General features: G+C 46.1%; 1 protein-coding gene across 49 annotated transcripts in view, besides 1 other annotated feature; it reads right to left on the reverse strand.

Annotated features, from left to right (window-relative positions):
- TSC1 (TSC complex subunit 1) overlaps positions 251–15,559 on the reverse strand; it is a 54,030-nt gene continuing 38,721 nt past the window's right edge. For 32 of the 49 annotated variants that reach the window (XM_011518979.3, NM_001406620.1, NM_001406618.1 and 29 more), the window contains 9 exons: positions 14,483–15,041; positions 13,313–13,356; positions 12,553–12,719; positions 11,507–11,689; positions 10,491–10,601; positions 9,617–9,739; positions 6,325–6,512; positions 6,086–6,247; positions 251–5,656 (listed from right to left, as the gene is read on the reverse strand). In XM_011518979.3, coding sequence (XP_011517281.1) covers positions 5,137–5,656; positions 6,086–6,247; positions 6,325–6,512; positions 9,617–9,739; positions 10,491–10,601; positions 11,507–11,689; positions 12,553–12,719; positions 13,313–13,356; positions 14,483–15,041 — 2,057 coding nt within the window. In that variant the 3' untranslated portion in view covers positions 251–5,136. The remainder of the gene's footprint in view (positions 5,657–6,085; positions 6,248–6,324; positions 6,513–9,616; positions 9,740–10,490; positions 10,602–11,506; positions 11,690–12,552; positions 12,720–13,312; positions 13,357–14,482; positions 15,042–15,559) is intronic. The other 17 variants (NM_001406625.1, NM_001406613.1, NM_001406609.1 and 14 more) reach the window with 5 other exon arrangements.
- Positions 12,456–13,140: an enhancer, noted in NCBI's record as "OCT4-NANOG hESC enhancer chr9:135778941-135779625 (GRCh37/hg19 assembly coordinates)". NCBI's record gives its function as "activates a minimal SCP1, AML or CMV promoter by ChIP-STARR-seq in primed H9 embryonic stem cells {active_cell/tissue: H9 hESC(primed)}" and the evidence as "EXISTENCE:reporter gene assay evidence [ECO:0000049][PMID:30033119]".

Here is a 15,559-nt window from a genome sequence, read left to right on the forward strand (position 1 = left end):
CTCATTGAGGAAGAGCATGAATTTGAGGCAGATACAGGAAGGATTTGTGGCTGTGCACCAGACCATTTGCCAGAATAAAAAGGGTCTTCTTAGAGACAAAAGCCCAAATCCATTATTTGTCAGGCTCCTCTTCCAGTCACCCAAGGTAGCCAAACCAGACCCTAAGGCTTTGTATCTTTGGACCAGTCCCCTGCTTGACCTGTAAGCCTGCCAAGGCCAGTGTAAGCCACTCCATGTCCACACAGCAGAGTAGTGCAAAACAATAAATTTTTATTTGTTCACAGTTAAACACAAGCAACTGCCTTGACATTTTAGAACATTCTAAGAAGGACAGCAAACTCTTTTGATTCCAATTCCCATTCACTAAGATTGTACCATTTTATCCTGCAGTTCATATTTATGGCATCTGATGTGGATTGTTGACATGCTTTTAGGATTGAGGCGGGAAAGTTTAGACCTTTTGACAAGAGCTGACTTTCTTCAATTTAACTAAAAGCAGTCCGTTAAAAAAAATCAGTTTCTTTCACTGATGGGACCCCTTTAAACTGCAAGTTTGCCACACATGGTTCATTCATGATTGAGTTATAAAACTAGATTATGTCTTAGCAAAATCTGTTCCTCCGTAATATATTTGTGGTCCATAGAAGTCTTCTGAAAAGTGATTACTGATTCTTCCTAGTGCAAAATGCGTGGCTGCCTCTTTCATAAGCCAAAGTACTTGCTACACAGAGCAGCACCATACCCTCCTGTCCAAACACTGTAAGAGGTGGGGAAAGGGAGGGAAGGGTTGGTCTGGGGGTTCTCAGACTCTCAGGGTTTCCACTGAAAGGTCCATTCCAATGGTTAAACCAGCCTACTTATCTCAGAGGATGGATAATGTGGCGCTGCGAAGTGGGGAGGAAGCTCCTCTGCCATCATTAACTCGTTTCATGACCAGAAGCCATGGGCACAGGTGCTCGGCTCTTCCAGGCAGGCTTCCCTTGTAGCTACAGCTACTCTTCCCTCAGGCGAGCAGATAAGGACTGCAGGACGGCATGGAAGAGACAGGAACACGCTCCCCTGGGCACATCGAAGAGTCCCGGACAGGCAAACAAGCCACATGGGACAAGGGTCACAGCAGCAGCCTAGGGGCCAGTCCTCGACCTAAACTTGTTCTTTCACCTACAGACAAAAGCTTAATCAAGTGCAATCAATGCCTTGGGATCTTTGCAGCAATCTGGGGGGCATGTGTCACAGAACTCTGGATGTAAACAGATACACAAACATCTTCAGACTGGATACATTTTTCCAATACTTGTTGCGGGTCGGTTTTAAAGCATGTACCCTGGAGAGTGAAGGTGCAGCAGATAGGTATACTGATTTGAGTCACTCCACACCAGGCAGCTTCCTTCTCCAGGTGGGGCAGAGCCCCCTGGGGGAACAACTCTCCAAGAGTATCCGCAGGAGGTGGGCGGCACCCCATCTCACCAAGGTCCTGGCCGGGTCTTCGCTCTGCCCAAACCCTCCTCCAGCCTGTGCAGGCCTCCTCCCACCTCTTAGTGCTTTCAGCGAGAAAAGGTGAGTCTCATTACGCAGAACTTTTGTTTGCTCTTCGGTTCTTTCCTTCTTCAAGTGGTATGCTCTACTATTTGGTAGAAATTCACATTGGCTTGTCACAGCACACTTCAGTTCTGCTGGCTACATGAAACGCATACCCAGTTTTCTATTCTTAACAGTGAGTCTGAGCCTCTGTGGTCTCAGAGATCCTTTCATCCCCATGACCATTTTATACATCCTCCCCTCAACAACTGCTAGAGTTTTATCTTTCCCAACAAATATACCAGAAACTATGTGTGCTGTTGCAAATGGGGACGGCCCAAGAGTCTGGAGTTTTGTTCCCTGCTGCCCTGCTTTTACCCAGTAATGTGCGGCATGGTGGGTGAATTTTTCTAATTGTCCTGGGTCGTAACAGTTCACCTTCTCAGAACAGTTTGGACTGTTTCCCCAACCATGTCACATAAGCTTTGGCTCACAAAGTAGCTCACCTCTCGCCTCTCCACTCTTCAAGCTTAGTAAGAAGATTCCGCAGCTTAGTCCCAAAGGTCAGGCAGTTTTCTCTCCTGAAAAACTCTGTGGACACACCTAGAGAGGTCACTGTCTGCCCACCTGCCTTAGTAATGCTGGTCCTAAAACTCATCTCCAAGGACATCTTTCACAACTTCTCCATCTAAGAAATGACCTTGACCTTCCTACCTTTGGGTTTGTTTTTTTTCTATTCATGACCACGTGTTTCTTCCAATCCCATAATAACAATTTTTATAGACTGTATAGCAGAGCCTTGTCAACGGCTTTTTGAAAATCCATCAAAGTTCTATCAGATGCAGATCTGTGTGTTTATTCACCTGCAGGGACTCCGGAGCTCATTTGCTCTGCGTCTTCCTATCCCCCTCCCCGCTAAAACTGTAGTGCACCTTTTTAAAGGAATTCCATGCTGCACAGCAGCAGACTTCGGGCTCCTCGGGGCCTGTGCTGACTCTGGTTAGTGTCAGGTGGGGATCCGAGTAGGTTATGCACATTGGCCAAACAGCTGAGACAGGTATGCTCACCCATAGTGATTTCTGGATGGAGGCCATCCAATCCCAATATTTATGAATACCAAGCTGCTTAATTGGTTTCAAGGTAGACTCTGCCCTTAACGCTTATTGTACTAATACCTTTGCCCAGGACTGAATTGCCTCTCGAGAGTAATACTGTCACCTTTCCATCCTTAGAACTACCCACTGCAGCATGATCAAGTGACCTGTTGACTCTTGGCAGGTTTATCATGTCCAAAACCAAACCAAACCTAACTACTGACTCTGGAGTTCTTTGCAACATGAAAGCCTACATTTTTAGGTTGGGCACCTTCAACATGACTCCAGGTCTCATTCTCCCAACCGTAGTTGAATAAAACCCACAGCCTCCTAGAACTCAAAGGCACCTGAGCTTGGAGCCACATTTGTTATAAAGCTGAGTAAAAGGACACCCAGGCCGCATGGATGAGCTGAGGACCCTGTGCAGACACGTCCATGGAGCTTCTAGCACAGGCCTCTCTCCATGCTGCCTCCTTTCTTCCCTTTATTTTTATAAGCTGTCCGTTTCTAAAATGTTTTTTCTTTTGCACTTGGGCCTCTTTTCCTTTCCAATTCAGGAAAAGGCTTTAAGTGCCTGGTATCTTGTTCTATGGCACAGATCTCTTGGGCATGAGGAGAAGGAAAGCACTTAAAACCAGTTTCAGGATTCACTGATGGGATTTCCTTCCCTTTCTAAGTTTGTTCACGTTTTCCTTTTCTAAAACGGAACCAGGAAACTAGACTGTATTGGGTTTTAAGCTTTCCTTTGGACAAAGCTGAATTAAATGTGTGGTGTCACTAATACTCCACATCTGACAATTCAGTACCAACTGCCAGCCTGTGCTAGGCTGAGTAGTTGGGACCACGCCCTGCCACAGGCTGGGAATCAGTCACACCCAGAAAGCCTGCCTGAACAGGTTTTCTGCTGGTATAGCTAGGGTGACAGAGTCTCTAACTGTCTAGTCCCCTTTAGTTAGGGATGCTAGAATATTTATTGCCATGCTAAAAAAAAAAAAAAAAAAAAAAGACTTTCATTCTCTCTGCTCGAGGCCTCCGTGGGCACTAAGATTTCGTACCGTGACAGTTTTTTACCTCTTTATGACTGAATCCTTCTATTCTTTTTAATGAAAGATAGAAACAGGAAAGCCAAGTTCACTGGCTCCTTCCTACCAAATCCCCCTGCCTCAGCTGGAACACCAGACCACAGTTCTTAGGCTTCTAGCGTTTCTTTCAGGAGCACTTGTTGAGTTTGGATTCTCTGCCACTGCCAATTTTCTGACTAGTGTCATCTCTCGGGAGCACGTGGGGCAGCCTAGTGGGTATACACAGCCAGCCTTTGCCAGCATTCTCCCGGACTCTGTTTAGACTGCTCTGCCATTACTAACATGGAGAGTGTGATGACATCAGCTCCCTGGAGAGTCAGCCCCTGAAAGTTGGAATTGGTATGAAAAAGCTGCCCCTCTTCTGGTAGCCTAGAACCTGCTACAGTGAGGCAACCCTAATGGCCTGGGAAATGATGGTCACATACACTTTGCAGAAACTCTTTGGACCTTCAGAGCCTTTCTGCTGCAGTGTCACATATAAGCTGACATGAACAAGAGGCGTATGCACACAAAGGGAGGCCAGTAGACAGAAGGGTTTAACAAAAGGCCCAGCAAGCTGAGATGGCCTAAAGGTGCAGTTCCTCATGCTCAAGTGCTTCTCGGGTAACCTCTCCCAGTGACTGCTCCTTCCCTCCTATGGAGAACAGGTTTTACCACCTACACACCAGCCTGTGGTCACAATAGTACCAGCATTCAAGCAAACACCAAATAAATAAGAGGTAGTGGGGGAAGAAGAGACAAGAGCTTTCCCAAAGGGTGTGTGGTCTCCACAGTGCCAGCTCCAGATTTCTGAAACAGGCTTCTGTTTACACAGAACTTTCTAGGAAGCTTATCAGAACTGCCAAAAGAATGCAAGTATGAATAAACCGTTGTTCTTCTAGACCTGCTGCTTTAGATGCTGAACTTCAGAATCAAAAAAGCAGTCGGAAAGTCTCATGTAAACGCTTTCATGTAAAGACAACCAGCTTTGCAGGCTATGTCCTCCTGGAAGGGACAAAACCAGACTTACCTGCAATGCAACAAACTACCTGGTCTAATTGAGAGCCAACCCAGTTATCTGAACTTCGGGAAAGCAGAAAGTGGTGTGTTAGACTCAAAGATTAAATTTGGCCTCATATTGCACAGGTTCAAAGGACGCAACCATTTGGGGGGGAAAGGAAGAAAGTAAAGCTACTGAGGAACACCAACTGGCCCTTGGATTAGAACACACTGCGAGGTAAATGAGAGGGGGTTAGGGCGGGTGGAGGGGAAGGTCAAGAGGCATTTCAATGCCAGATCCAAAAACCGTTCTGCATTCAGTCAGCTGTCCAAAGGACCTCCGTCCCATTTCCACACATGAACTTGCACTCAGACCCTGGAAACAGGAAAGCTTTGAAACGTGCATTCACACCTCCTGTTCTGTGCCAACAATATGCAAGTTAACACTGATTGACCATCATTCCTTAGCTGTGTTCATGATGAGTCTCATTGTAGTCCATGATATGTAGCTGTCCAACACTGTCCGGGGTCGGGGGAGACGGGTGAGGGCCATCTAGGTTCAGGGGAATCTTGGCTTCCACACCCAAGTCTTTGCCCAGTTCTGTCTTTAGGCTCTCAGAAAGGCTACTGGTCATGCCGTCCTCATCACACTGGCTCTCGCTCTTATTACGAAATAACTCTCGAGCCTTCATACCCAGGAAGCTTTTTGAACTGGGAAGTGAGCCCACAGTGGTGGGGATGCTGGCAGACGCTTCTCCCATAGTCGTCTCCCACCGACTGCTGAATGGGCCTGCCCTCTGGTGTGGGGGTTTCTCTGGGGTAGAAAGCTCGCTGCTGCTGCTGCTGCTGCCTCCACCACCTCTGCTTCCACTACTGCCCCGGGCGCTGCTGGGCCTGGGGGTCTTGGTCTCACCGTTGTGGCCAGATGCCTCTTCATTGTGCCCTACCATGGAATCTGAGCACCCGTCATTACAACAGTCAAGCCTGTAAGAAAGCCGGGGAGGAAAAAAGGAGCTGGTGATTGGACTGTCCACATTCGGAGGATGTGGAATTACACTGACACTCACTCACACTGACACTGAACTCCGCTAGCCCACTCTCTGTTTTATAATACTGGACTCAAGAGATCTCATCAAGAGAAACCTAAATCACAACTAGGGATAGTAGGTGGCAATCTTAAGTGTGAACACTTCCTGTGGCCATATGGAGGGACTCAAGGCCAGGAACACGAACACGAAGAGATCACTGGGCGTTTTGAGGAAAGGAACGTCAGAGTGGGTCTCTGACACGGAGTGAGCTGAGTGTTGCAGCCTGTCTAGTCAGCAGTAACTGCTTCCCACACCACGTGACACAGTCCTTATGCTGGAATTGGCAGCTTAGTCCCAAGGTCATGAATCAGTTCTTTGTTCCTACCTTTCTTCTGCTGCTTCAGCTGCTTCTGCTTTTTCTTCTTCAAGTTTTTTCAGGAGGCCATCTTTCTCCAACCTGCCATATAAATCTAAGATCTCCAATTCAAACACCTGGGTTATCCTTTTCTGAGCCTCATACCTGCTCTCTGCGGCCTGCAGCTGTCCTCTGAAAGATACAGACCAGCCAGAATATAGGAAGTTCCACTTAATAAAAACACAAAAGCCTTTCCTGATGAAAGTTACCTTGCCTGGAGTTTGACATCCTCTAGATATTTCTTCTGTTCCAAAAGAAGGTGGTCTTTCTTGGCCAGGTGAGATTCCAGTTCCAAAATCCGTTTTTGGGAGGTATCAAGCCTCTGAGTCTGCTGGAGAACATGGCTTCTGTTTTTTTCTAGCTCTTTCCGATAGGCGGCTTTCATCATTTCTACTTCCTGAAAAAAAAAAAAAAAAAAGACTGGAATTAGTACTTATAAAAAATAAACATGCTGTATCCATTTTGAAAAGACAATGTAAGAAGGACTGAGAAGGCATTTTAGTATACTGATAACAGAAATATAAACTAGTACAACTTTATGGAAAGTAAGCTGGTAGTATTATCCTAGTAACCCTTCCTTGAAATCTATCCCCAAGCAAATCATGTGAAACATAAATAGAGATTTTGCACAAAAATAATCATCACAGCATATTTATAAGAGCAAAAACCTGGAAACATCGTTTAAGTCTAATGTCAGGGGAACAGTTAAGTAAATTAAAATACATCCTATATTTCTAAGTCTTTTTAAAAAATGATATGGTGTCAGTAAAAAGATTAAAAAGCAGACTACAAGACTGTGTGAATAGTACAATCAACTATGCGAACATATACATATACAAAACACCAAGTGAAAATACGCCACTATCCAGTTATCATTTCAGTCCAGTGGTACCGCAGGTCACTTGCTTTCCTTTCTCCTTTTCTCCCCCTCCTGACAATAGCGCAGGTGAGGCTACAGAATGGAATGCCAATGGAGCAGGTCTGCTCAAGCAAAGCAGCCTTTGCAGACTGGATGCCCTGACAAGGTTTGTTGATCGTGCTAAGGCAGATGGCCTGCTGCCGACAGATTGGAACAGCTTGAAACCCAGAGCAAGTACACACTAATGCTCAGAAAGAAGGCGGAAAGGGTATTTTTTTAAGCCTGTGTTACATTTGTGTGTGTATGTTTACCGTGGTAAAATATACAAAACACAAAACTTGCCATATATTTGTTTTTTAAAAAAGATAATAAACCATAAACAGCAAGGAGATGAGCTTTCACGAAGGCGCCCTGCCTTGATGCTGTCTGGTAAGCCCAATGCTTCCTTGTTATAGAACGCAACTGATTGAAACTCAGAACTGGCTCTCGGATAATGCGGCTGTTCCAGCTGTGCTAAATGGCTCGACTTCAGCACAGGGTGGATGAACGCATCTATCTGGCCTTCGTCATAAACAACAGGACTTATTCATGGATAATCATGCAAAGCATTGAACCAGGAACATCCGTGCACTCTCACTAATCCTTACAGCTACCCCTACCAACTGTTCCCACCTGATTCCCCACCACTCACTCTTCCTCCTCCTTTGGATGGAACAAGAGCAACCCTAGCTCCAGGTTCAGGAGCAAATCCTGACTGGGTTGAGGCAATGACTAGGCTAGGGATGGGCACAGGACAGGCCTGGCCAACAGGGGTGATGAGAAGTATGGTGGGATCATCTGGGAAAGGTTTTCTTTTCCTTTTCTTTTTTTTGGAGACAGAGTCTTGCTCTGTTGACCGGGCTGGAGTGCAGTGGCGTGATCTCGGCCCACTGAAACCTCCGCCTCCGGGGTTCAAGCGATTCCCCTGCCTCAGCTCCCCAAGTAGCTGGGACTACAAGTGTGCGCCACCACACCTGGCTAATTTTTTGTATTTTTAGTAGAGACGGGGTTTCACCATGTTCGCCAGGATGGTCTCGTTCTCCTAACCTCGTGATCCACCCGCCTCGGCCTACCAAAGTGCTGGGATTACAAGCATGAGCCACCACGTCCAGCCTGGGAAAGATTTTCTTGCTGAGGAATAGGAAGAGATGCTCTCCTCTTCTGTGGGGACATCATTGTGTCTGCCTGTCATATCTGTGCCTGTGGCACACACCTGGCAACCATGAGTGCAGCTAGCTGGAAGACAAGGTCTGCAGGATAAGCAAGGCAGTGCAGAAGAGTGGAAAGAGCCTGGCTCCTCGATGCTGTCCCTGAATGGCCAACTTGACCAACCTGGAACTCACCTGCCTCACAACCTCTTGTCAAGTGAAACAATACAGTTCTTCACTGTTAAGCCAGTTGAGTGCTTTTTGTTTTTGTTGTTTTTTTGGATATTGTTAGGCTTGGTCTAGAACTTCTGAGCTCAAGCAATCCTCCTATTTCAGCCTTCCAAATAGTTGGCACTGTAGGCATGTGTCACCGTGCCCAGCCCTAGTTTGGTTTTTGTTGTCTACAATTGAAGGCATCCTGACTATCACAACTCAGCTGCATCACCCGTTTTATGAACTGGGAAACAGGGCCCCATGGAGAGGCAGCTACTCAAGGTCCCAAACAGCACAAGGACTCCTTGGAGGCCGCCCATCTAGGCTTCTCTCAGGAGATGGCCCAGGCACGTTTCAGCAGCTTTTTCAGGAGCTCTCTTGTGCCTCGGATCTGTTTCTCCCCCTTTCTGTTCCCAGTCATTACACCTCCAAAATAAGTGATAGCTGCTTTCTAGAGAAAGTCCCACACCTAACATCCTTCTAAAAAAGGGAGTCTGAATCTGAGAGCTGAGAGGAGCCAAGAAATAAAGAGTAACTCTATTAGGAAAATTACTCTCTCCAGTTCTAAGACTCCTCTCTACATCCGGCCGAAAAAGACTCTTTACAAAGCACATGCCCAAGAAACCCAAAAAGAAGGCCCATGTGTGATGGAGAAGTTAGTGACAGGAAGTATCTGAACAGCTACTATTAAAATTCAATTCCCACCTCATTCACTAACATTACCTGAGGCTATTTATAAAGTGACTTAAAACTTCTGCCTCGACACCACTGGTGAGGCACTAATTAATGTAAGATCATCCCAATGCTGGCCTTGTTGCCAGGACTGAACTACCATCTGCAGAAATCCAACATTAAAAGGAAAAAAAAAAATGGTATGTACAGCACTCTATATCCATGGTCCTGAGAGGTATGTTAAACAGAATTGGTCCCCCATCCTTCTTTTTCTCTCTCCCTCTTTGAAAGGCAGCCTAGGGAAGAGAAAGGAAACACTTTACACCTACTCTCTACCAACTACCATTAGGTGCTTTCAGTGTGAGTTAACTTCAAAGCAACCCAATAGGAGAAACAAGCTCACATGGTGGCTGGAAAGTGCTTGTATAGCTGGACCACGGAGTAGTGGGACTGCCGCTCCGTCTTTTAGGAAATAAGTCATCAAGCCATTCTCTATGCCATGCGGGAGACATACTGTCTGGGTCTGAAACGCTTTCCCCACTAAGGTCTGGCTCCCGAGCCCTGGCATACCTTTGTGGTATCTGAGTGCTTGTTCTGCAGTTGTTCCAAATAGAGCTCGTTGACCTCCCCAAGAACCAACAGCTGCCTGTTCAAGAACTCCATCTGCTGCTGGACCGACTCACTGTTTGAGAGCTAACCAAAAAACATGAGCAAAGTGAAAAATCCGACGACATAAAACTAGCACATAGACGTCATTAAACAGGGAATCAGCTAGGAGCACACTATTTCAATGTTAAGGCAAAATAAACCAGTCCCATGGGTTCACAGTCCCTGACATAATGGCAGGTGGGGAGGATGGTACCCAAGGACAACAAAAATAGACAGAAACACACTTCAGAACTGTGCTTTGCAAAGGGGACAGCACAAATGCAGTCCATCAAACTGACCACCCACAGAACACCTGGAGAAGGTGGACAGGTATACCACCAAGGCCCAGTGGCATAAAGCCCTAGGGAAAACTCACCGTTCTTGACAAAATGATGTATGAAGTGCAGTGATTCCCAAAGAAGGAGGAATCACGCTCAAAAACCTGAACAAACTTTTGACATTTATGTAAACAAGGTATGAAGAAAGAGTTCCATGGGATACACATAGAGCAGGGTTTAGGATGGATACTTCTTTGTTGCAGGGGGCTGCCTGTGCATTGTAGGATATTTGGCAGCACCCTGGCTCCTACCCACTGGATACCAGCAGCACCAAAAACATGAACCTAAAATGTCTCCAGACATTGCCAAATGTCAGGGACTATGGGGGCAGCAGAACCACTTCCTGTTGGGAACCCATGACACAGACACTCAAGTAATCTATTTCTTTAACCTGTCTGAAGGAAGAATGTTAGCAAATGGTGTTTCAGCAGATTCAGGTCTGCCTCATTTCTTCTTACCTTTTGGGAAACCTGACTGAGCAGCAGCTCAGTGTGACACACCTTGTTGTTGGCCTTCTTCAGTTCTATCCGCAGCTCCGCAATCATGTTCCTGCAGTCCTCCAGCTTCGTCTGCCCAAAGAGACGTGGACATGAAGTTTGAGGAACACCAACAGGCCAGATCACAGGCCTACCTAGCCACCAGCCCACAGAGGACTGGGAATGCCTTAGCTCAACGGCTCTACTTTCTTGGGCCCTCAGAATTTGATGTCTTAGTTTTAAAAAGTAAGTTATGGTTGATTTCTGAGTTCCTTACTGTTTAACAAAAGAAAAAAAGAGACCTTAGATCCTCAGTTCCCAAACTGTGCACCAAAGAGCCCTGAGGCTACACAGCAAACTCACAGGGATGCTGCAGAAAGATTCTGAATTTTCGAGGGAGACGCAGCGCCATCTGTTGGACACTCTGTGAATTACTAACTGGCTGGAAATGATGCTGTGTCTGTGGATGACGTCTTTGTGAAGCCGGGTTTTTTTGGGTGCAGTGATACAAAGCACCACAAGGAAAACCAGTGTGGAACAGGAAATGAGGGTGTCACTGTCCACTCTGATTTCAAGGTCTGAGATACCATGCAGTGCCCAATAGGTGCACACGAGGCATTAGTAATTGCAATTATTTTTTTAAAAATTAATTTATGTGTATTATCTGTGAACAGCTACTAAGTTCTTAGGACATTCGTACTCACTAAGTTATTCAGATCTACTTAATGAGCAGAACTGTTAACTGTTTCCTTTTGGCTGCAGAAAAAAAAATGACTGAGACACTAAGGGAGCTACTATATGAACCAACAAAGTTGGGGAACCTCTGTCCTAAGTAAGATTCACCTGCCATGAAGAATTTCTGCCATGATTTCAGAGAGAAAAGCATTCAGCTTAGTAAAGCTGAACAAGTCAAGGACACCCAGGGAAACTGACTGCCTCCCTCCCCACTGCTCTCCGGCATTCTCGCAGTTGGCTTTGCCTGGTGCTGCAGTTTATACCTGTAATTCCTGGCTCTGGTTGTAGAATTCCTCTCGGTCATGCTGCAGCTGTCTGATCTGGCTGTGGAGCTTGGTTACCATAGTGTCACGCTGCTCCTGGAGCTGATTGTATCTAGCTTGTTCTTTCTGCAGACTAACCTTCCACATCTGGATGTCCTTCTCTTGTAACTTCAACTGATCTTTCTAGCAGAGACCAGAAATGTCATCATTTTAGCTGTCTTCCAACACAGGCAATTTAACACACACTGCGAACATTTCATCTGAATAGTCATAAGCTACCCTGAAAATGTAACTAACTACAGACCAAAACTCTTAGAGCTCACTACTGTCTTACTTGGCCTTAGGTCAAGGTTTTCCAAATTTTACATTAAGCAAATGGATCTTAAGTTGCTTAAATAAATCTTCTCAGGGATCAGTTTGCTTCCAATACTTTCAAAAGTCTGACTACCAACACTGGAATAAAATCTCTCAAACATGGTACTAAGTTCACTGAAACGATGAGCATTTACTGAATGCTTGCAGTGTGCTGGGCGCTCAGCAAGGGCTTACCGACATAATTTCTTTTAACCATCACAACTTAAAGAGCAGGTGCTGCTATTGTTATTTCCATTTTATAGCATGGCTAACAGAGGCTTCAAGAGGCCACGTTACTTTTCTAAGGTAACACTGGTAGAGCCAAGATTCAAACTCCAGGCCTGACTGGCTTCACACCCGCTGTACAATACACGCTTCAGTTTTGTGCCATGAAATAGCTTTACAAGAGTTGGTTTTACATTTGGAGAAATAAAATCATCTTCTGACCCTTCATCATCATGGCCAGTTACATGCAAACATACACACACAAAATCACTTGTCCCCACGGTTTCTGAGAATTATGAGGGAATTCCGAGGTGTCACCATTCATGTCTTAATCTCAAGCGACCTGCCCAAAGGAGTGGGAAGGACTGGGAACTCTGACCTCCTCGGCTGCTGTGCTTTATAAGCTATCATGCTGACCCAAAACAAAACAAAAAGCAAGCTCCACCTGTCCCCTCCCCAGTCCTCACCATGGCAGCATTATGTTCCTCCAGAGCTGCTGCTTTGATCACCTTGCGGAGGAGCCGCCTGTTCCGGAGGGCATGCTGCTGCCTCTTAAAACGCTCATAGAGTAACTGGTTGTGCAGTAAAAGCAACTGGTCTCGGAGGGTGCGGATCTCATCTGAAGGAGGAGAGCCTGATTGTAAAGCAGAGGGAGGGTGGCAGAAATGCCTTTTACAGATGGTTCAATCAAGCCCCCTTCCCATGTGTTGTTAGCTTAACAAACACAATTCTTTAAAAACAAATCACCACTCTCTTTGCAAATGACCACTTGACTCCCAGCAACAGCAGGGGGGAAAGTATGGACTATGTGTCTCCCCCGTGAAGGAATGCAAAAGGTCATATCATGTGGGATGACTCTTTGAGAGCCTGCTTTCCTTTCCCCACAAATCTAGATCACGCATTTCAGATGCCCTGTTTCTCAAGACACTTCCTTCGCTGTGTGTTCTCCCCCAGGAAGATGCTTCACTCTGGTCTTCTCCAGGGAAGCCTGGCAGGAAGTCTGTATTTTGCACTTATACTCTCAAGCGCATAGTACTTGCCACTTTTCAAAAATAAGAAATGCTGACTTGGCAACACTTGAGATCCTTTAGCCAAGCAGATAGCCTGGCCGGAGCAATAGCCAAGGGGAGATCTGTTTCCCAGAGGGCACCTCCTTCAAGGACAGAAAGGGCAACAAGCAAGCAGGAACCATGTGGGCTGGATTTGGAGCTAAAGTAACAACTTTACCTCCAAAGTGGGTCCAGTCGACAGACTTGCTGGGTAAAGGCAACCTAGGAAGAAAGTTTTTGAGTAACAAAGTTACCGATCTTACCAAGAAAAAAACGTATCTGGACTTTTATTTGCAGCAAAGTTAGATCACTTCCTTGTGGTCAAAATCTGCAATGGCATAAGAATGTTTCAAACTCCAGGTCCACAGAGAGTTAGAGGAGAAGCCTACACTGGACACAATGGGAGGCGGCCCTCGCCCCACTGCCTAGGACCTGTGTTGTTAGCTTAACACAGTCCTTTAAAAAACAAATCCAGAGCGGAGAGGGTTGCAGGCTGAGCTGCACTGCATACACCGTGGCCTCCGTTTCTGGGGCCAGCTCTCCAGAGAAACTGAGTAGTCAAACACACTGAGAGCCGTTTTCAACCCTGTCTGTTGAAATATACAGGGAGTACACTCTGTTGTAAAGCTATGTCACTCCGATTTAAGGAAAAAGTAGGTAATTTACCTAAGCCTATCATACCAAATCTCGTTTAAAAAGAGGGAGCTTAAATACTATAATCCCTGTCAAATTCCACCATAGCATAGTATATAAGAAGAAAAATAAAAATATTCCCCAAGCACCTGTAAAGTAGCTAATAAAAGACGGATGGGAAACCGTTTCTCAGCTAGAGTCCTTTCTATGAAAACTTGGGTGCCTCAGGGGGTCTGGAGGGGATGTCAGGCCATCTGAACTTGCATAAAATGCTGATGATTTTATCTCCACCTAATGAACTATGATACCAAAATAGAAAATAATAATAATAATCTGTAGCTAGAGAGGGAAACACTGTGACAAATATTCTTATATTCTTTGAAATACCATAACCTCATTTTCAGCCTACAGCTTGCAGAGGGCACATATGAAAGCATTTGAGTGTCCTCATAGAACAGAGGCATAAAATGGCCTATATAAAAAGACTCATTTTGAAATGGACTGCTAAGGAATCATCCCAATTTAGGTGCACAGAGGTCACACATGGTCACATATATGAAGATGCAACAGCCTAGAAGGACATCTGACAAACAGCAGAGAACCAGCTGCCTCAAGGTGGGAGTGTGAAGAATGATTCTTGTTCCTCTCTTACACTTTCTGTACTTCACAATAAAATGGACCATTTAACACAGAAGAGAGTGCCCCAGTCCCTTACTTGTTCAGCTCCTTGCTGTGCGCGTCTGCTCCCTGCTGTATCAGTCTGTCCAGCACTTCCATTGGGGAGGTAGAGGGCACACCATCTTCCTCTGTGTTTCCTTTTGCTTTCTTTAACAGCTCCTCAGTCTTCCTGATGACAAAATGATGGGCTGTCTTTGGCAATGCCACCTCAAAAAGATGATCATACGGGGGAGGCTGCCCGCTTCCAAAGCCCACTCTCGTCGGAGGTGGAATTTTACAAGGACTGGGAGTGAAGATACTGGTCTCCAAAGAAGTCTGGCATTCCCTGTCTCCCGCAGGGCTTTCATCAGCACTGCCGCAGGGCAGGTCTATGGGAGTAAAGGCTTGCTTTGGTGTGTCAGGCCCAAGCTTGTCCAGGGAGGAGTGTAAAGGCTCAGGGTTCACGCTGGCGCCCTGAGAACTGGAGGCTGCCGAGTGGGTCTTCCGCTGAGAACCTGGGAGACTGTCTCGGTAAAAGGGAGAGTCAAAGCCTCCTCGAGGAACCACAGGCTCTGCCTCTGCTGTGGTGATCTCAGAAAGTTCTCTAGATATTGCAGCTGAGAGGAAGAGAGGAAACAAAAGAAATGGCAGTCGGTATTCCACCTGGGAAAGACTAGGCAGTTTGGGTGGCATGCTGCCACATGCCAGTGTCACTCAGAGAGAGGAGAAAAAGTGGCATCCGGCTGGACACAGTGGCTCACGCCTGTAATGCCAGAACTTTGGGAGGCTGAGGAGGGAGGATCACTTGAGCCCAGGAGTTAGAGACCAGCCTGGACAACATAGGGAGATCCCATCTCTACAAAAAATACAATAAAAATCAGCTGAGCATCGTGGTGTATGCCTGTGGTCCCAGCTACTCAGGAGGCTGAGGTGGGCGGATTGCTTGAGCCTGGGAGGTCAAGGCTGCAGTGAGCCATGATCGTACCACTGCACTCCAGCCAGGGTGACAGAGCAAGACCCTGTCTCAAAAAAAAAAAAAAAAAAAGTGGCATCACTTTACCTGGCATAGGTCCCAGACTAAACCACCCATCTTGTTACCTCAAGAGAAGAAAAATCCAGCAAGCCTGTGAGCAAT

Source organism: Homo sapiens, chromosome 9, assembly GCF_000001405.40.
Source record: "Homo sapiens chromosome 9, GRCh38.p14 Primary Assembly".
Lineage (NCBI taxonomy): Eukaryota > Metazoa > Chordata > Mammalia > Primates > Hominidae > Homo > Homo sapiens.